This window comes from Homo sapiens, chromosome 2 (genome assembly GCF_000001405.40).
Source record: "Homo sapiens chromosome 2, GRCh38.p14 Primary Assembly".
Taxonomy (NCBI): Eukaryota; Metazoa; Chordata; class Mammalia; order Primates; family Hominidae; genus Homo; species Homo sapiens.
Genome location: NC_000002.12, coordinates 181,352,012 through 181,373,366, shown reverse-complemented (window position 1 = coordinate 181,373,366; position 21,355 = coordinate 181,352,012). Strand labels below are relative to the sequence as shown.

General features: G+C 35.9%; 1 long non-coding RNA gene across 1 annotated transcript in view; it reads right to left on the bottom strand.

Annotated features, from left to right (window-relative positions):
• LINC01934 (long intergenic non-protein coding RNA 1934) overlaps window positions 1–21,355 on the bottom strand; it is a 275,717-nt gene that overhangs the window by 26,187 nt on the left and 228,175 nt on the right. The window contains exon 4 of the long non-coding RNA NR_130784.1: window positions 10,449–10,680. This is a non-coding gene — a long non-coding RNA (long intergenic non-protein coding RNA 1934). The remainder of the gene's footprint in view (window positions 1–10,448; window positions 10,681–21,355) is intronic.

Below are 21,355 nucleotides of genomic sequence, written 5' to 3'. Positions count from 1 at the left end.
GTCTTGATTAAAAAAACAAAAACAAAACAAAGCCTGGCAGAGAGAGTGAATTAAAGCTTTCAAAGCTCAGGATCTGCATGTGTAGAGAAATAGAGTAATAAAAGGTATAAAATTTTAGGGAATAGTGAGATGGTCAGTGGCTGGAAGCAGAGGGCCTGGGAGGGTGTGGCAGGAGATGAGGCTGGAGAGGTGAGCTAGGGTATGATAAGAAGTGGCTTTGGTGCCTAGGTGACTGTGGAATTTATCCTCCAGGAAACTAGGGACAAGTTGAAGCCTTTAAGGAGAGAAATAACTGTTGGTATTGCCTAGGATGGCCATTTGTAGGGTAGGGGCAGGAGTGGGGAGGGAAGGGGTGCTCAATCATTATAGGAAGGCCAGTGGGAATGTTATTTCAATAGCCTCATAAAGAGGCGACGAGAAAGGACAAGAAGCAACAGTCTAAAGATAGATATCTCGGAAGCAGGACTGTCAAGATTTGGTGACTGATTGCATGTGGGGGTAAAACAGATATGATACAGGATGACTTCTAGCTTTGTGTAAGTGGTGAAGCCTTTAATCAAGACAAAAACACAGAGAGGCAGCTGGCTAGGGTAGGAGTAGGAGTGAAGAGACTGCAAGGACATAGGAGGCAGCAACATAGACATTTTCTAGAAATCAGTCTTTGGAGAAAAAGCAGTAGCTCTTCACCAGATCACTCCCAACAATCATCAATAATGCCAATAAATCAAACCAGAGCAAAACAAACCAACTCTAACAGATGCTTATCAAGGGGAAATGCAGTTGGAAAGACTTCTTTGTGAGGAATAATCATGAGGAAAAACAATGAAAATGTACAGATGATAAATTTGTCATATGAACTCAAATAAAAAGACCTCATTAACAGGAAGCTCTTTAAAGCCTCAAGGTTCTGAAGTTTCTCAAATGCCTGCTGAATGATATGCTCAAGCTGACCTATTTCTTCTTCCTTCACTAAATATTATAGTAGCATATACCAAATGAAAATTATATTCATAATATTCAAAAACCCTCAAACAATCATAGTCTTCAATTTGGCAACACATATGGATTACTTTCCAGCCCTGTCAGGACAGAACAGATTCTGGACAAATCAAGAAAGAAGGAAGTGCTGGTACAATCACACAGACGAATGCCAGTTGTCTGAAAAAACAAGTTTGCTGTCATCTTGGGACATATCATTTTTAGAAACAATGACCCATTTGGCAGCCTCACACACATTCCCAGCTCTGAAAGCTTTCCAGCATTCCAGGCCTTACTTTATTTAGGTTTGGGATTTTTTGGGAATAAATCTTTGGTGAAGCAAGTGCAGAATCTTAATTCCATTCAGTATTACTCATTCCATTCACACCATTTTTTTTTTTTTTCTCATTGTGTCTTCTGTTAGCGACCCTTGTCTCCCTGCCTCAAAGACCTTGTCTGGACACCTCATATCAAATGGCAGCAGTGTGGAATGTCTAATTATTTCACTGTTGAACTTGAACAGCTGTCTGAGATGGTCTATTTAACCATGCTGGTCCTCTGGTTTTTGAAAACAGCCTTTGTTATATGAAGGATGTGGTTTTCCTCATTAGAAAATGTTTGCTTTTGGCCCAGTCAACATCTGAAAGGCCCTGAGTTAGATTTATTCAAAATTTCATGTTCTACTTTTTCAGTTTCAATTAAATTTTTATTGACTAGATGAGGTTTCTAAAGGGTAGAGAATTAGGTGTCTCAGGACCCAGAAAATTTTCCGCCTATTTCCAAGCATCTGACAGTATCAGTCTTCATCGAATTTTGAGACTTCAAATAGTTTTCCTAGCATAGAATGGGCTTTTCTAAAATATGTGAATTCTCTGAGCCAAAACATAAGTTCCTAGAGAATTTCTAGCCTGCACACCTAGGTTGAGAAAGATTCTGGGAAGCAAAACATTTTCCCTTTGAAAAGGGAGTTCAGACTAAGTTTCAGGGAGGAAGTGGGGTCATAAAAGAGTGGTAGGCAAGTGTAAGAACAGCCCTTTGTCAGGGAACTGGAGGGAGGGTGGTGGAGCCCTGGGAAGCAAAGGGACCCTGTTTTTAGTGAAGGCCTTTGACTTCTGAACTCATGATCTCTTCATTCTTTATGGGGTTTGCTTCGCTGTCAATTGCCCTTTGTTCATATGTGCCTGTTAACCTGACTTCCATTGTAGGGTGATGGTCTTTTTCCCTCCCCATCTTTGGATCTTCATATACAAACAGTTTTAATGATTCCATCATGTCCTTTGTGGAAACAGCCTAATAGGCTGTTATATTTTTTCATTTCACTCATATTCACAGCTTCTGTTCTCATTAGGTTAATATGAAATGAACGTAGTAATTTCCAACATGATTATAACAAGAACTAAGAATATGTATATTGTTCTTCATCTTATAAATCATTTTCACAATGTATCTCATTTATTAATCTATAGTCCTTGAGTAATTGTTAATTTGAGATCATTAGGCCTAACGAATTTTTTAAATGCATCAATTCTTCCTCAAAAGGTAGTTTGCAGATATTTACATAGGCTAAACAAAAATAGTAAAATGTTAAAAGTTTTTCTCAATAATTAAATAAGATAAGCTTTTATGACTTCTTCCTAATCTCAAATATCCTTTAGGAGCAAGTTAGAATCGAATTTTCTGCTTTCAGATTATATGTTCGACTCAAAATGAAGCAACAATTTGCTTATGTTTATTCAGTTAAGAAGAATTAAGTTCAATTTCTAGTACTCATAAAAATTTAGAAAAAATTCTCATGGAAGATATTTTACAACCACATTGGCTAATATGTATTCTTAAGTCTATGGATACTTTCAATAAGCTGACAACATAATTGTATGAGAAAATACATTCTTTTGAAAAGTTATAACATTTAAAATAAAGAAATATAAAAGGTACTATATGAGAATGGGTATCGCTTTTTCTCTTTAGGATGAATGGGCTAATTTATAACTTGTCAAGGGTCAGTAAGGCCAAATGCTCTAAGAAATATAGAGAAAAAGCCACATCATGGAATTGCTAAAGGGTACAAAGCGGTCATTGATTTATAAAGCAGACAATCTTCTGGTTTCCTCTTTATATTATGAACATTCCTCTATAACCCTTTTATTCCTGGGTCAATTAAACCAGTAAAAGTGGATGGCTTGTAGGGCCAGCCTGTGGCCCACATTTGGGCCCACGATCAGCATTTTAGCAGTTCAAGGATATATATCTGTGCTCACATATAACTCCTTACCTTCCCCACCAAGAGTGAAGAAGGGCCTGAAACTGCTAGGTGCCTTCTAGTATCCATTCTTCTCTTCTTCCTCAGGAACAAATTTTCATTTGGCATAGGAATGCAAACAACCTAAGGATTACATTTTTCTTCCTTCCTTACAGTTAGGTGTGTCCAAATTACTAACTCCTGGTCCATGAGACGAAACAGTCTTTTGGTAGCCTGCTTAAAGTCAGCTGACTCAGCAGGGATACTTAACTTTTGTCCCTTCTTCCTGATGTTTGGACTGCAGATGTGATGAATGGGGCTCTGGTTGCCATCTGGAATTATGAGGTAAACTTGAGAATGGAATGAGAGACAAAAAATGAGAAGGATGGTGTGGATTTCTGATGCCTTTGTTTCTGTCACTCCAGCCTGGACCACCTAACTCCAGATGACTTGTATGCGAGAGAGAGAGAAACTTTTATCTTTTTAAAGTCACTATTAGTATGGGTTTTCTATTACATGAATCTAATTCAAGGTGATAGAAGAGGGAATTTTATTGCCGTTTTGCTATTCCTGGGAAGAGCTGTATGACCTTCAGGGCTTCTCTTTAGAAACTGTAAGAGTGGTAGACCTTAGTGGGCCTGGACCACATGTGACAGGGCATAATGATAATAATGGTACTATTACCATTTAGTGAAAGCTTTATGCCAGTCACTGTTCAAGGTTCTTTTTTTACAGGCTTTTAACTTAATTACCATACCTACACCACACTTCAGTGTGTGTGTGTGTGTGTGTGTGTGTGTGTGTGTATATATATATATTTATATATATGCACATACAGCCACATGCCACTTAACAATGGGGCTCTGTTCTGAGAAATGTGTTGTTAGGGTGATCTTGTCATTGTGTGAACATCACAGAGTGTACTCACACAAACCCAGGTGTGATAGCCTACTATACACATAAGTTATATGGTATAGTCTATTGCTCCTAGGTTACAAACCTATACAGCATGTTACTATACTGAATACTGTAGGCAGCTGTAACACAATGGTAAGTATTTGTGTATCTAAACATACCTAAACATAGAAAAGGTACAGTAAAAACATGGTATAAAAGATTAAAAATAGTACATCTACATAGGACACACCATGAATGGAGCTTGCAGAACTGTAAGTTGCTCTGGGTGAGTTAGTGAGTAATGAGTGAATATGAAGGCCTAGGATATTATTGCACATTACTGTAGAATTTATAAACACTCTACACTTAGACTATAATACATTAAAAATTTTTTCTTTCTTCAGTGATAAATTAGCCTTAGCTTACTCTTTTTTACTCTATACGTTTTTAATTTTTAAAAAACTCTTTGACTCTTTTGTAATAACACTTAGCTTAAAGCACAAACACATTGTATGAGTATACAAAAATATATTCTTTCTTTATGTCTTTATTCTATAAGCTTTTTTCTATTTTTGGAAATTTTTAATTTTTAAAAATTTTTTGAACTTTTTTGTTAAAAATGAAGATACAAACACACATATTAGCCTAGGCCTACACACGGTCAGGATCATCAATATCACTATATATATATCAGAAATATATCACTATATCTTCCATGTCCACATCTTGTCCCATTAGTAGGTCTTCAGGGGCAAAAACAGGCATGGAGCTGTCATCTTCTATGATGACAATGCCTTCTTCTGTAATACTTCCTGAGGGAACTGCCTGAGGCTGTTTTATAGTAGACATTTTTTTATAGGTAGAAGGAATACACTCCAAAATCATGGTAAAAGTATAGTAAGTACATAAACCAGTCACATAGTCATTTATTATCATTACCAAGCATTATGTACTGTGCATACTTGTATATGCTATACTTTTACATGACTGGCAGCACAGTAGGTTTGTTTACACCAGCATCACTGCAAACATGAGTAATGTGTTACACTATATTAGAATGACTACAACATCACCAAGCAGAAGGAATTTTTCAGCTTTATTATAATCTTATGGGACCACTGCCATATATGCAGTCTGTCGTTAACTGAAATGTCATGATGTGACACATGACTCTGTGTGTGTGTGTCTGTGTTTGTGTCTGTGTGTGTGTGTATAAAAACAACCCTGAAAAGTAGGTAGTGTTATTATCCCTGTTATATAAACAGGGAAACTGAGAAGCTTAGGGAGTTACTTTCAAGTGGCAGCGCTGGGAATTAAAGTTCAAAGTCTTTGGTCTTAACCATGAGGCCACGCTCTCTCCCAGTAAAGGGAGGAACGAGCCATCTCCTAAGCATTTTCTCTCCTGAGAATGCAATGTTTTCATTTTTTATTTCGTTACTATCAATACCCGTTTTATATAAGAAGGACACTCCACAGAGTAGAATGTGTATGTATTGATTCCTAGTCTTATCTTAATAGATTTAATCATAGAGCCTTAGAGAAGAACCAGCTTATCAAAATGGCTCCACAGACTTATCATTGCTAGCCTTAGTAGGGGCGAGGGGAGAGTACAGGCCAAATGGGCGGTGCTCAGTAACCCACCATATCATATCACTGTGGAACACCACCCAACAACAAAGCATTTGTCTCCCAGAATTCTATTCAGAATCTGCTTGAGTACAGCAGTAACAGCACATACTTATCATGAAGCAACCCTGGAAGGCTGTTTAAAAGTCCCTGAAAGATAATATTTATTCAGGTCTATTTTGTCTTCCAATTGTAAAATGTTAAGAGGTCACACACTTATTATTTTGCTTAGAAGAATTAATAATGCCATGGGAAATGAAAGCTTCACCTCAATTCCTGTTTTGCTTTTGGTGCTTGTTGCTATTATTTGTTTTGTATGGAACACCAACAAAACATACATAGAATAATGGACCACTTAAATGTGTATCAGTCAGGATATTGTAGGTCATGTACAGAAAAAAAATATCCAAATGTCAGAGGCCCGTAACACTCAATGTTTATCTTTCTACTCTTACTTCCTGTCCATTATGGATCAACCTGGGGCTTGGATTTATGTCATCTTTACTGCAGTACCTGGGAGGCTGATAAAGAAGCCTTTTCTAGGATGTTGCTACTTTGATGGCAGTGGAAAGTAAATGATGGTGAAACACCAACTGACTTAAAACTGCTGATCAAAATTGATACATGTCACTTCTGTTTATCTTTCTCTAAACAAAGCCAGATGCATCGCTAAAACTAATATCAATAGGGTGGGGACATGCTTCCACACAACAGGCAAGGAGGGACCGTGAATATTTTGACACTAAATATAGTAATCTTCGACAGTCTTAGATGATAAAATATGTAGATTACTCTAGCCATACTGTGGTATTTGTAGTTTCTCCAGCTGACCATGTGTTCTCTCACATTTGCACCTGATATTTGTAATTTTTTTCTGCCTGAAGCTCTTTCTCTCCCTTCTTCACACCGCTAGTACTTATACAACTTCCAAGTCTCAGACTAGATAATAGATCTTAGAACTCTTGCTTGACTCACTAATCCTATTCTATTCCTGAGTATTTCCATAGTTAACAGTTTTCAAATAGATCTTAACATCTCCACAAATATTTCTTGTTTTATTTTTTGTTTTGTATTGTATTTTTCTTTTCCATTCCTTTTTTGCTTCACCACTCAAAGGTAAGTGCATTGAGAGCAAAGAGTGTATCTGGTTCACCTAACATAAAACCTGGCACATATTAATTAATCAACCAATTAATATTGTTAAATGAAAATTATCTTGACAGCTTCATGCAATCAATTTCTGTTGTGTTGTCAGGAAATATGGCATGGAAAAATAAAGACTACTAAATATTATTTGCTAGTCAAATAAGTGAATCATCTTGGATATCCAACCAGTTGAGACCTCAGTTGACTCCAGCATCACCTGACATCTAACTGCAGTGATATGAGAGATTCTCAAGGGAGAGTGTAGAAAAGGCAGGGACCACTGGTAGGAATTTGGACTTGCGATTGATCATTTGGGGATGGTTGGGAAATGCTTCATATAAGCAACCCGGCCTTTTTAGGTTAAAGAAAATAAGGATCCTGGGCTTATAGCTTGATAAATTATAATTACTACTTTTTCTGCTTCTCTTCTTCACTTGTTGCTAGCTCTTCATTAATATACAAGTATGTTTTGGCTAAATGATGCAATTTAGATAAAAACATTAATTTATTCAGACTAAGGTGCAGCAGTGTCACTTAAAAACATGTATGTATGCATACACACATTTTTGTGCTGGAACTGGCAGCTATCATGAACAATGCATCCTTGTGTATAATTAGCATGTTTCAAAGATCACTATAGGCAAGAAGACATCAAAGAAAATAAGAAAGAAAGGTACTAGAATCATTGTGGGCAGAATATTTCTTAACTTTTTAACAGATAGCTAGAACAAAAAGTTTCTGGTGAGATAGAAAAGTCTATGTTGTTAGCAGTATTTCAACATACTCCTTATCACCTGATCCACCTGATCTGTGTTTTTGTACCCTGGTTTCGCATCAGAATCACTTGGTAGGCAGGCGTTTAAAAAGTACTAATGACAGGGTCAGGCGCGGTGGCTCACGCCTGTAATCCCATCATCTTGGGAGGCCAAGGCAGGCGGATCACGAGGTCAGGAGATCGAGACCATCCTGGCTAAAATGGTGAAACCCCGTCTCTACTAAAAATACAAAAAATTAGCCGGGTGTGGTGGCACGTGCCTGTAGTCCCAGCTACTTGGGAGGCTGAGGCAGGAGAATCGCTTGAACCCAAGAGGCGGAGGTTGCAGTGAGCCGAGATCACGCCACTGCACTCCAGCCTGGGTGACAGAGCAAGATTCTGTCTCAAAAAAAAAAAAAGTACTAATCACCACACTCTATTAGGCTGGGACAATGGTATTTATAAAAAATTCCTTGGGTGTGTATAATGTTTAGCCAGGCAGAAGAATAGCTAGTGTAAAAATCAGGCACTGTAGCTCAATCATTTTTTTTTTTAAATGAACTTGTATCAGGTAACAAGAGGATCTAAACTTTATTTTGCCCCAGATGCATATAAAGTAAAACCAGAGAAAATGCTTATGTTCCATGAAGTTTTCAGATATCCACTTTAAAATGTCTGCTGACAGCAGCCGGGTTTAATTCCAAGAGACTAACCACTTCCGGCAACCGGATTGCAAAAGGGAGAAGGGATGTAAGAAGGCAGTCTTTTGAAATAGATCATGGCTGATATCTTTGCCTGGAAAAAGGATGATCCCTGCCTCATCGTCATGGGCGCATAGTGGGAACAGCATTGACAACATCCCGAGTATGTAGGGAATGCTTTATGTGGATTTGGAAAACATAAATAGTGAAAAAAGAATTTTAAAGCCTTTGCTACAGCCTTATTGGCATTATTAGACAGGCGTATGTGTTGTAAAGTATTTCCTTCCACCTTCCACGTATATTATGTAATATAAACTGCATGGAGATAAGCATTTGCCCTGATATTTTTCTTTGCTCAACAGTGTAGCTCTTCTCTTTCTCAACAAGTCTCTGTATGATATTTCATCACAATGCCTAGTATCCATATACTTCAAAAATCCAAGTGTTTGATGGAACTTTTCATTCTGTAATCTATTTAGTCAGATAATACCTGCCAGGGTCAAAAGTGTAAGTGCTACTTTAATCACTATAGCAATTACTATGGCAATTTTTACTACATAATAATTACACAGTAATAATTAATAATTAATATTAAAAATATCAGGGCAAATACTTATCTCCCTGCAGTTTATATTACATAATATATTAATATATTAATAATTACTGTGGCAATTACTACATTGCCACAATTTAAAAAAATTATTTTTGTTCTTTCAGTTTTGAATCTGGTGGATTTCAGACACAGTTGGAAGCTATTTTTGGCGAGCAAGTTTTCCTGGGAAGATATAATAACCCTGATGTTGAAGGTCTTGTGGCTGATATGGGGGCATATCTATTTCAACATTAGCAGCATTACTGTCTGTCCAAGTTACCCATTTCCACTTTTCAGATACTGCAATAAATAGGCTTGTTTGCCTACTCCTCTTGAAGGCAGCAGGTTGGGTTAGATTGGGAAGATGGCATGAAGGTGGAAGGGGGAGACACTGTTGAATTCTTTGTATCTCTGTAAATTTCTATAGGGATTTCAAATTCTGCTTCCAGTTCCCAAAGTTTAGAGATCAATGCCATTATTGAAAACTACCATTAACAGCACTTTGGGAGGCCGAGGCGGGCGGATCACGAGGTCAGGAGATCGAGACCATCCTGGCTAACACAGTGAAACCCTGTCTCTACTAAAAATACAAAAAAAAATAGCCAGGTGTGGTGGCAGACACCTGTAGTCCCAGCTACTGGGGAGGCTGAGGCAGGAGAATGGCGTGAACCCGGGAGGCGGAGCTTGGAGTGAGCTGAGATGGCGCCACTGCACTCCAGCCTGGGCGACAGAATGAGACTCCATCTCAAAACAAACAAACAAACAAACAAAAAACAACTACCATTAACAGCATAGAGACTTTACCTGGAGTCTTCTGTTTATGCTTCATTTGTTCAAAGTAACACTTTCCTTAGATTGTTTTCTTATATCATTTTAGAAGTTCTAATTATTTCTTTCCAAGAAAAAGCTTGTTTTTTGGAGGGTTAACACTAGAATTTTGTGATTCTGTATTGCTTCAGTAATGACAGCAAAAAAGGAACTTTATGGAAGAATAATAGGGAAGCTTATGGGAATTGAGGGATAGCTAGTGAACCAGGTTTGGAACAAGTAGGCAATTTGTCTTCCAGTTGCCAAAAATAAGGAAATGAAACTTTACCATTTCTTCTGTCTTTGCAACACTCTGTCAAGATTCAAAGCTGGGGAAGAGAGAGTAATTGACTGGATTTAGTTCTAGGTCTAATGCAATCTATAGAAAAGAATGGGAGAGAAACCACCTAGCTTATAACCCCACCAGCACTGCACACAATGGGGAAAAGATATTTCCCCAAAGGAAATAGCATACTGATAAGAATGGAGAATGGCTGCTGGATGGCTAAGAAGCAATAAATGCCCCCGTCTGTATTTTTGCTTTTGTGGGATAGATGACAAGACTTCTGCCTCTCAGCAGGAAGATACACCGAAGAAATAGAAATAACAAATCTTATTAAATAAACTTGCAGCTGAAGAACATGGTGTTTTTATGTTAAAAATAAAAACAAAAAAACAAAACAAAATAAATCAAAACACAAAACCTACCTCTGAGTTGGAGTAATTTCCTTAATTTTAATATCACAAACATTTTCTTTCCATCATTCTTTTCATCATGTGATTCTGGAACTGAGCTTGGCAAAGCGTGAGTCTAAAGGTACTTCCAGTTTGCTTGGCTGGTTAGGCTATGGTCCTTTGCAGTATCATTCATGTCACTTATTTACAGTGGTCCCTCTTATCTGCAGTTTCACTTTCCGCAGTTTCAGTTACCTGCAGTCAACTGTGGTCCAAAAATATTAAATGAAAAATTGCAGAAATAAACAGTTTATAAAGTTTAAATTGTTCACTATTCTAAGTAGTGTGAGGAAATCTCATGCTGTTCCACTCCGTCTTGCCCAGGACATGAATTGTCCGTTTATCCAGTGTGTTTATGCTGTAGATACTTCCTACCCTTTAGTCACTTAGTAGCTGCCTTGGTTATCATATCAGCTGTCTCAGTATCACAGTGCTTGTGTTCAAGTGACTAATTGTACATAATAATGGCCCCCAACTCAAGAATCATAATGCTATCATTTTGTTATAATTGTTACATTTTATTATGATTGTTATTCTCTACTGTGCCTAATTTATAAATTAAACTTTATCATAGATATGTATATATAGGAAAAATATAAATATATAAGGTTTGGTATTATTTGTGATTTCAGGCATCTACTATTGTGTCCTGGAATGTATCCCCTGTGGATAAAGGGGGACTACTGTACCTCTATTTTTAAGCCATGGTGATATAGTTTTGCTTGTTTTTACTCTACTTCTGTGACAGATTAATGATGATGTAGTTTTGAAGGCTGAGTAGACTTCAGTTGAGTGGACAATAGACAAGACTGGGTTTGGAAAACCCCTCTAGCTCCAGAAAGTCAGTGCAGTTGGAGCATGGAGTGACGCTTAAGGGATCTTGGGTTTCAAACTGAGATGTGATGAGAGAGGCTAAAAGCACAAGTAAAGAGCAAATCGGAAAAACATGACAGACTCACAAGATCTTATGGTCATCATAGAATCACATTGATTTAGGATAGCAAATACTTGGCTCATAAACTCATCTGATCTCATCTTATACTCTAGATGCATCACCAATCAATCAAGACACTGTAACTGATGAGCTGCAGAAGAAATTTACCTGTGGCTCTGTCCCTTTCAAGCCATCTATTTATAGCACTCTTCTAATCATCTTTTTAAAACTTCAAATTGGATCTCTAAAACTTCCGACAGTCTTGCTCCAAAAACATTTATCCCCCAACCCATACCCTGAACACTCATTGTTTCATGACTCTGTGTATACAGTTTCCTTTTCTCGAATATTCTTTACCTTCTTGCTCATTGGTGAACTCCTTCCTATCCTTCAAAACATTTTGTCCCTTTCTTACACACGTTTCTAATTCCACCAGGCTAATTATTCTAGCCCTCTGTACTTCTAGAACACTGCATTTATCTCTCTTACAAGACAACTTTCCTGGAATTTTAATGTTTATATAAACCGTAATTACTTTTGCACCAACCTAATATGTCTGTGTTTTTCGTTAGACTTCATGCCACTTCAAAGTAGAAATACAGCTTATTCTTCTTTTTATTTGCTCTAACTTAACCCCAGTTTTGGCCCCATTATAGATGCTCAGTAAATCGTTATTGGTTGAGTAAATGAATGTCAACCAAGTTTTGTGGTCATCCTGTCATAACACTGAGAAATAAAGGGCCTTTTGACTCAATGTTGTATTTTCTGTATTAATTAAAAGTTTATGTTTTGGGACTTGGATGTAGTGTATGATCTACCTTCACTTGAAATATTAAATTGAAGTTTATAGTTTTGCTTGTTTCATCTTACTTTAGCCTAATTTGTGCATTGCTCCTTATAAATGTAAATTAATTAAAGTCTGACGCTATTTAGGGGAGCTGAGATTAACCAAAACCCCTGTACTCTAAAAAGAATATCCATATTTATTATTTGAATTATATTTAATTCTGTTTATTTTAACATTTTTCTGCATACACTTTTGAATCTCATTGACTAGATGTCCATTTTCAACCTCATCTCATCATGCAATATTCACAGGAGTGTTTGGCTTAAAAATGCACAAAGGTATCTTATTAAATAATGTCACAAACATGAAGTTCATTATTATGCAAATGCCATCCTTGGAACAGATTTGTTAATTGCAACTCATTTGCATAATTAATGAACTCCCAAATGAATTATGCCTTTGCAGATTTGTGCAGCATTGTTTTAAAATAAATTATAAAATACATGTCAAAGGAAGAGTGCTTTCTGGGTTCCCACAGCATTGTTTGAAAATTAATTACCAAATGCTTGTCAAATTAAAATGAGTTTGTAGTTTTTACAATGTTATTTTAAAATTAATCACAAAATAAAATGTCACTGCATTAAAGTAAGCAACTTGTTATTTTTCTCTAAAAAAGAACCACAGAAAACAGCATTTTAACTTCAATTACATTGTTTGGTATAGTGATTCTAGTGTTTTATTCATTTCATCTTTACACTGTGACTTAACAAAGTTGCTAGTTGTTAGCATTTTAATGTTTGATAAATTGAGATTTAATTTAATTTTATTATGTAGCTTATTTTATATGGTTGATGATTAATACATTGCATATGAACTCAGTATGGGTTTGTTCATGATAAATTAGAATTTTAAAAAAAACTTCAAGGTCATTTAAATCTGTTGTTATAGCAGTATTCTTAAGGTTTATTTTATTTGAAGTTTTGACTGCTGCCAGTTAAAATGATTAAAAGCATATAGTTTGAATCATTCTGCCTCTTCTGACTAATATAGTAGTATAATTCCTTTCTTTGATACAGAAAAGGCTGTTGCCCCTCACACTACTTTCTTCACACCATGGAAATTCTCTGTTCTTGCACAGAAGCCACAGCTACTCCCCAGTCCTAGACTCCCCAGCCCACAGGGACTGTCTATCCCCCAGGAAATCAGATGGAAAACCATTAGACCTAAAAAGTGATTTGGCCAAAATAACTTCCAAAACAATAGACTCGGTAGAGAAATTTCAGGAATTAAGGTTGCTTACCAAATACCTTTTCAAAATATCAAAATATAATAATAATAATAATAATAATAATAATAACGAATTATTATCCCCACCTAGTAGTATGAGAACATCTAATAGTGAGACACCCACTCCCTTAAGAAAAGAAGTCCATTTTTTTTTTTAACAATAGTATCCCTTCTGCTCACCTCTCCCTCTCCCCATCCTCCAAACCAAACCAATTGTCTGTGGTTTATATTCCATTTTGTCAGTTCTTGACCATGGAATGCAAATCCATGGGGGAAGGTCTTTGTTTGACATGATTGCAACTATGCAAACTGACCCCAACTAGACAATAATTCTTAAGTAAAATGATAAAACATTTTGCCTCTTAAAAAAACCCTGTATATAGCTGCCTTTCTAAACCCCTATGAGCGATTTCATGTTGCCCTTTCTATAAACTGATATGCATAGCAGCCCTTTTTGAAGAGGCAATATTTCTTCCACTTCATACCTTGTGTGTGAATAAACCCAAGTGGTTCATGCAGATACATGGATTTGACCTTTTGCCATTTTCTATTTCAGTCTGGCACAGATATTACTCAAAGACTTAAAACATCTTTTACAATCAAATTAAAAAAAAACCCTACTATTGTTTAAGCTTTGATGCCACCCTGTACTTATTCCTTTGTTTAAATTCTTTAGGATATTCCAACTTGACATTCTCTTCTGAAATTCTAAATCATTATGCTCATAAGTATAGGAGAATAAAACACCCAACACAGACAAACTGCCCTCAGGACAAAAAAATTTTTAGTGGGCCAATAACTACATATGAAAGTCTAAGTTATTTTGTACAGATGCACCATCTTTCATTAGGAACACCATTTACTTTGAGACGGCTCCCATTGAATTAAAACAGAAGTGTTCTAAATGAGAGAATTTGATCCACAACTTATGTTCTCTAACAAGCTACAGCCTGCAAAGCATTCCAGTCTTTGGAAAAAATTTCACATTAGTGAGAACAAGAGTGAATAAAGCCACAGTTTTTGTTGATTGAACATAAACCTTTTGTGAATCCTTGTAAGGGTCACTGGTCTACTCTTGATATAGTCTTCATGGGTACTTTCATTCCAAACTGTTTTCATTTCTGTGTTTTACTATACAAATTTCAGAAACATGGGTAGAATGGACAGCCTATAAAATAGATCAGCATCCAAATTTTCTTTAATAAAATCATGGCTTTGTTTTTCCTTCCAAAGGGATTCTCTTTCCTTCTTTTGTGCTTATCTTAAATATTTAACTAAAAAATAAAAATTCTGTCTATTCAAGGTATAAAATATAATGATAGATGTATATGGTATAACAATAACCACAATAAAATTAATCAACACATTCATTACCACCCATAGTTACCATTTGTGTATGGTGGGAGGTGAGGACATTTAAAATCTGCTCTCTTATCAAATTTCAAGTAAACAACATAGTATTGTTAATTATAGTCACCATGGATAAAAAATGTGGTATATATAATGGAATATTATTTAGCCATAAAAATAAGAAAATTCTCCCATTAGTAACCACATAGGTGAAACTGGAGGACATTATGCTAAGTGAAATAAGCCAGAAACAGAGAGACAAATACTGCATCATTTCACTCATATTTTGAATCTAAACACATCAAACTCTTTAAACCAGAGAATACTACTGTGGCTGCCAGGGGGCTGAGGGTGGGGGAAATGGGGAAATGTTGGTCAAGGGAACAAAGTTTCAGTTATAAGATGAGTAAATCTGAGGATCTGATGTGCAAAATCTTGGTATTTTAACTGAGTTTCAATGTCAGTTTGCACAGAATGTCATATAAACTGGATTTAAGAATATAGTTTGCTTTCAACTTCCTTTGGAGATCTTTTCAGTTCCTTCCAAAAAATATGCTACTGTTTTTTCTGGAGCTTTTTCCAAGTAGCTTTGTTGTCTACATCAAGATCAAAGACCATAAAACCCAAATCTACCCATCCTTTATTTAGAAAGATCTATCAAAGAGAAGTAAGTTTAATGGTACTTTGTAAACCAAAGCAACCCTTGAGGTTGCAATATCTAAAATGTCGATCTCCTATGATTTCTGTTTCATTTATTGAAAATCCATTGTTTTCTTATTTTTAATGATGGTATTCTAGGCATTTCATATACTATTCCAAATTTGTAAGTTAAATATATATTTTAAGCTACAAGCAGAAAAACTTTTATTTCTCCCAAAACAAGTGCTAAAAGCTGTTTTTGTATTATCACTGGGCATAAATAATCACTTTCTTCAGAAATAGTTTTGGAAAAAAAAATCCTTCCTAGAAAAGATTCTCCTACACTGAGTCTTTATACAATATTGAATGTGTTTAAGTTACTAGAAACTTTTGTCTCTACAGTAAAGGGAAATTTCTAAAATTGTTCATTTCTAAAATTGCTCAGTATTATATGGCAAAACAATTAAACTGCATTCTTTAACTTTTCCAGTTAGATATATAGGTAATGTAGATACATAGCCAGAAAGAATAACGCATTTTGTGGCTTTGACAGTAACACAGAATTTCATTTTATTTGCTAATTTTTTGATTTGTGAATACCTATTCTCCTTTCTGAACATTAACTGTGACTGAAAGATTCATAGGCTTATTGAATATTCATGCAAATAATTTGAGATCTTTCTTCCCTAGAGTTCAAGTTGAAATACATTGTTGATGTATGTCCACTGTGACATTCTGTGACATTGTTTTGCAGTTATTTTTAATTAGAAATAAAATATTAATCTATTTGAGTTTGTGTATAGAATGTATTTGGAGGGAGGAGAGAACTCAGAGAGGTATACAGTGATAGAATTTTAATTAATTTATTTTAAAGAGAAGTCACTTTAACTTGAAAGTCAGCCCCGTTTGTGATCTACAGAAGGGAATTCACAATGACTACAACTTACAGAGAAAACTGAAATCACTTATGGTTAGGTTCCTCTTATTAATCCAAAATGAATAAAGGGCTTGTTTTCCTCAAAGCTCAAGAAGTGAGAAGCTGAAATAGTGAACTGTTCTTTGGATCTCAGATTTCTGCTATTAGAGCTATTACTTTGTGCTAAGTTTCAGTGAAGAGCTTCTAAATCTTCTGAAGAAATAATTGTGGTGGCTGGGTTCATGTCATGCAATTTCAGGTTCCCTTCTGAGCAGAGGTCCAATTCTTGAAATTTAAAGAATTTGTCAAGACTTCTCTGCCAAAACTATTAGATGACTAATATTAAGGAAAAAGAATTACTTCTATCTTAATGCCATTTTAAATATGTGATTATTTGGAACCCCATCTTGTCAAAGTTTTGCCCTCTTAAATCATTGAACAGCCTCAAGAACATCACTAATTTAGGCTACGTGTACACTATATTCTCTATCCATGAATTTGACAGTAACAGTTGATTTATATATTCTGATTCTTAAAAGTTTGTTAGTTTTTTCAATTTGGTGCTCTCTACTAAAACAGTGTGGGTTCAGGGATGGGGGAAGAAAATGTCAAATCACTTCTCCCTAGAGAAACCAATAACCCAAACTGCTCCAAACTCTAAACTTGTATTTGATCCTTTTTTGATTGCTGGTGTTAGGATTTCCTACCTTGTGGTTGTAATGGTTCACTGTCAAGTTCTGACTTTCTTGGAGACCACTTGGATATTACCCTAGTAGCTTATACTTTATTAATCTTAAAAAGTGAAAGAACATTCAGTTCAGCTCAACTGAAGTTCAGTTCAACAATGGAACCCCTATTCTGGTCCAGCCACTGTACCAAGCACTGACACTACCCGATGAATAACACATAGTTGACGTCCTCAAGGACCTGACAATCTGTGGGGGAGACAAACCACTGAAATGGGCAATTGTCATCTGAAGCAGGAGGTTTAATAATGATGATGTGTGGAAAGAAAGCCTCCTAGCACAACTTGTAGAAAAATGAGTTGGAGATGCCCAGAAAGTGTTCCCAATTGTTCCAGCATCCTTGAAATTTACCCTGCAAAATATGTGGAAGTCATCTGACCCATCTGACTATCTGATGCCATACAAAAGGATCATAGCAGAAAGCTAATGTAAGACTGGTGATTGTCTTGTGCCAAAACCCAGCACCCTGCTCCATAGGTAAATATGGAAACAAATGTTACTCTAGTTCAGTAAAGACAAACTCAGCCAAACTTTACCACTGATCAAACTCGTTTACATGATTCTATGTGTTTTATACTTAGAGATCCCCAAATAATTCCGAGTAGCAGTTTTATGGAGATTTACTATAGACTTCATCACTGAAGTGGTTTTTACCCTGTTTGCTCATCATTTCCATTTCTACTCTGATTACATGTTGAAATTCATTCTCCTTTTATAAAATCAAGTCAAAGCAGACATATACACGATTAGTTTTTGACTGAATCTCCATGAGAAGAACACTATAATGGCCACATCATAAAACAATGAATAGCTAAAATATATCAGGATTGCTTCTTAGGAATAAGTGCCTAAGAGCTTTGTGTACTTAATTTCAATTGTAATAATACTAATTGATAATTACTATTCTGCCCATTTTACCAGGAAAATAATCTGGTCTCAGAAAACTAAGAACCTTAGCCAAAGTCATCAGCAAGTAAGTTATACAAGCAGTATTGTGTCCTTGAATCTATACTTGTAACCACTGTGCTGCTGATTAGACAAAATAGCCATACCAAGCTGCTAAAGAAACTATTATGTTGTGTTTCCTTCCCAGAGCTCTTCTTAGCTTTAGTATTTTTAAAGATTTAAGTAGTAGAATGACATATCTAAATATAAAAGAAATTAAAATCCCTGTATTAACATAATGTGACTAGACATATTGTATGTCATATGCCTCTGATATTCATAACTTCGCAAAAGGTGCTAGGTATCTATTGTCATTCAGTTCCAGTCTTGGCATATTTTTCCAGTGAAGGGGCAGAGATCTCTCCACTCCAGTGTTCTATACTAAACTTTCATTTTTTTTTTTTTTGTGAGCCCAGACCAGAATCCCACAGACAGCATGAATGATGATTCATTCATGTACTCAGCAGATACCTATTAAGCAACTATTTGGCATGGAGACTGTACCAGTGAACAGATCATTCTTACCCTCCTGAGTTTGTAGTCCAGTAGAGAAGACAGATACAAACATGTACGTGGACATCAGTGTTTTAATGGCAAAGTACATACAACCATGGCTAGGTTGGCTTTCCTGGAATGGTGACGTAAAAGCTGAGCTCTCCAGTCTCAGTAGGAGTTAGCTAGATGAAGGTGGGAAAGATGTAGGAAAAGGGTAGAAACTATATTGAGAAAACTGAACATTTGAAGCTTCAAGGATGGAAAACCGTGATGTTACTATGGTCTGAAGTAGTCTGGTATGGTTGGCACTAGGACATCCAACCAAGAGAAGAAACCGGAGAGGTAATCATAATCCTAATAGCTGATATTCTTCTGGAATCTACCTATTTTAAAAAGTACTATCTCATAAAATATTCATAACCACCCTAAGAGGGAGATATTATTATTACCTCAATTTTTCAGATGAAATAACTTGATCATGGTCTTATCCAGTGAGTAAGCGGCAGAGCTTTGAATCAAAGAGCTCCAGTTCCAAAGCTCACATCCTCCACCAGCAACCACCGCTGCCTTCAGATCATGATGGGCCTTGTAAGACATAATAAGAACTCTAGTGTTTATCCTATAGGTCAGAATTCTCAAAGTATGTTCCCCACCCAAGACCTACTGAATTAGAAACTCTGGGGCAAGGCCGAATAATTCATGAGTTCGAAAACCCTTCAAGTAATTCTGATGTTCAATAAAGTTTGAGAAACTGTGCTAAGGGCAATGAGAAATCCTGTAACATTTTAAAGCAGAGAAATATGACTTAACCAGATGAGATTTTCTGAAAGCTGATCATTCTTTCCACAGGTGATCCCTTCAGAATGAAGACTCAAGCATCCTCATTGCTGCTCTGCACCCACAGTTACACACTGACTCCCCTTGAGTTACGGAGAATGAAGTTAAGAGTAAAGGCCATCCAAAGTGGTAGGACTAATGAGCTACGCAGCCTTCTATTAGGGAGCCCTAACCTGACTGCTAAATTGAAAGAGATAAAAATATCCTTTGTAATCTGATTGCAAGAAAGTGTCCCTAATTGGATGGTTGTGACTTAGATAAATTTTAATTTATTAGGCTTGCTTAGTTTTATGGGCAAAAAGTGTGCATATATAACAGTTGTTGAAATTTATCTTTCTCTTTGAATGAGGTATATTTTTCACTAGGAATAGTTGCAGTAATAATAATGACTAATATATGTACATATACTTCTTAATTTCAAAATATATTCCATGTATCAGAGTTACATAAAATTTTCACTTTTCTAGAAAGGGGCCAAATCATAATATGAATAAAAATATAGTAACTCTACCTTATTCACTGTCAACTAAAGAAAGAGTGCCACAGAATAGTAATCTTTAATTTGTAATCATTTTGTTTCTTTTCAACTAAATTACCCCCATTTCATTAACTTGTAGTAAAGTCTTCTTGCCCTACCAGTTTTTTTAAAATATTTTAATGACCTTTAATAATACTTTTAAGTATCATATTTATACTACTATAATTATATACTGAAATTTCAATTACCCTAGAAACCAGAAATTGTGAAAAACTTTTCTAAAAAGTAATGGTTTAAAAGTTGATTAAAATCACCAATATGAAAATGATTAATAGTGTACATTTTATTGAGGATATATTTGAAAATCTAACAGAGCCAATGACTAGTTTTTCATTTAACTTGACCTTGAAATACTCTTAAGGATACAAAATAAAAAGGACTTTGTCTGATGCCTGCCTCTGCCCCAAGGTGTAAGCAAAGAGAGACTTCCAATTTTGTCATATGGCCAGGGTTCAACATTTCAACATGCTGCACTTTATTTTTAATTCAAGGGAGAAAATATAGGCTTTAAAAAATGTATACAATTTTATATTAATGTCTTCTTGTGTTTTGTATTTAATGAGTCAATATCTCTTTAAGCTAACCTAACAATTTGAAAAAAAAGGAATTTTCATTCTCATTAGCTCATAGATATATACGATAAGCCAAAGAGAAGTGACCACTCAAGGCCACACATTTGCTTTCTTCTACCTGGAATACTCCCCACTCTCTCTCTCCTTCCTCCCACCCTCCCTTCCTACTAGCTCTTCATGACTCAGTCTTAACACCATTTTTTCAGGTGACCCTTTCCAGACTACTGAAATCTATCATCCCTTTCCCACCAAACCAGGATAGATTCCTTTAAGCTCCCATAGTTATCTGTCCCTCTTTATCTGTCCAACTTTTGTAATAGTTGGAATTAAAATAGTAAAAAATAGTAATTGAATGTCTGCATCTCTTCTAAGAGTGTAAATTCTAGTAGAACAGGAAGAGACACTTCTGACTTGTTCCTCATTATATCTTCAGCAAGTAGTATTGTGCTTTGCATAGAAGGGCTTCAGTAGATACTAGTGGAGGGAGGGTGAGAAGCGGGGAGGAAAGAGGGTAGGAGGGAAGGAAAGAAGAAAAGAAGGAAGGATGTTGCAAGATAAGAGCTCCAACAGAAAAAAAAAAGCACATATTTGTGTTCTAAGCTAAACTTTCATGTGACTAAATACCACTGTATTTGGCTACATGAACTCAAAATATGCTGGCTTAACCAACACCTCCATGATTAGGTGAATTATTATATGTTTATTAATGATAAGTGAATGGAGACATAGTTATTCACTTAAACACAAAGTGAAGTGACTAAAATATATTTTGGAAATCATCACATGAAAAAGGATATTTCTGAAGGAGACACATGGCATATACCTCAGAATGGC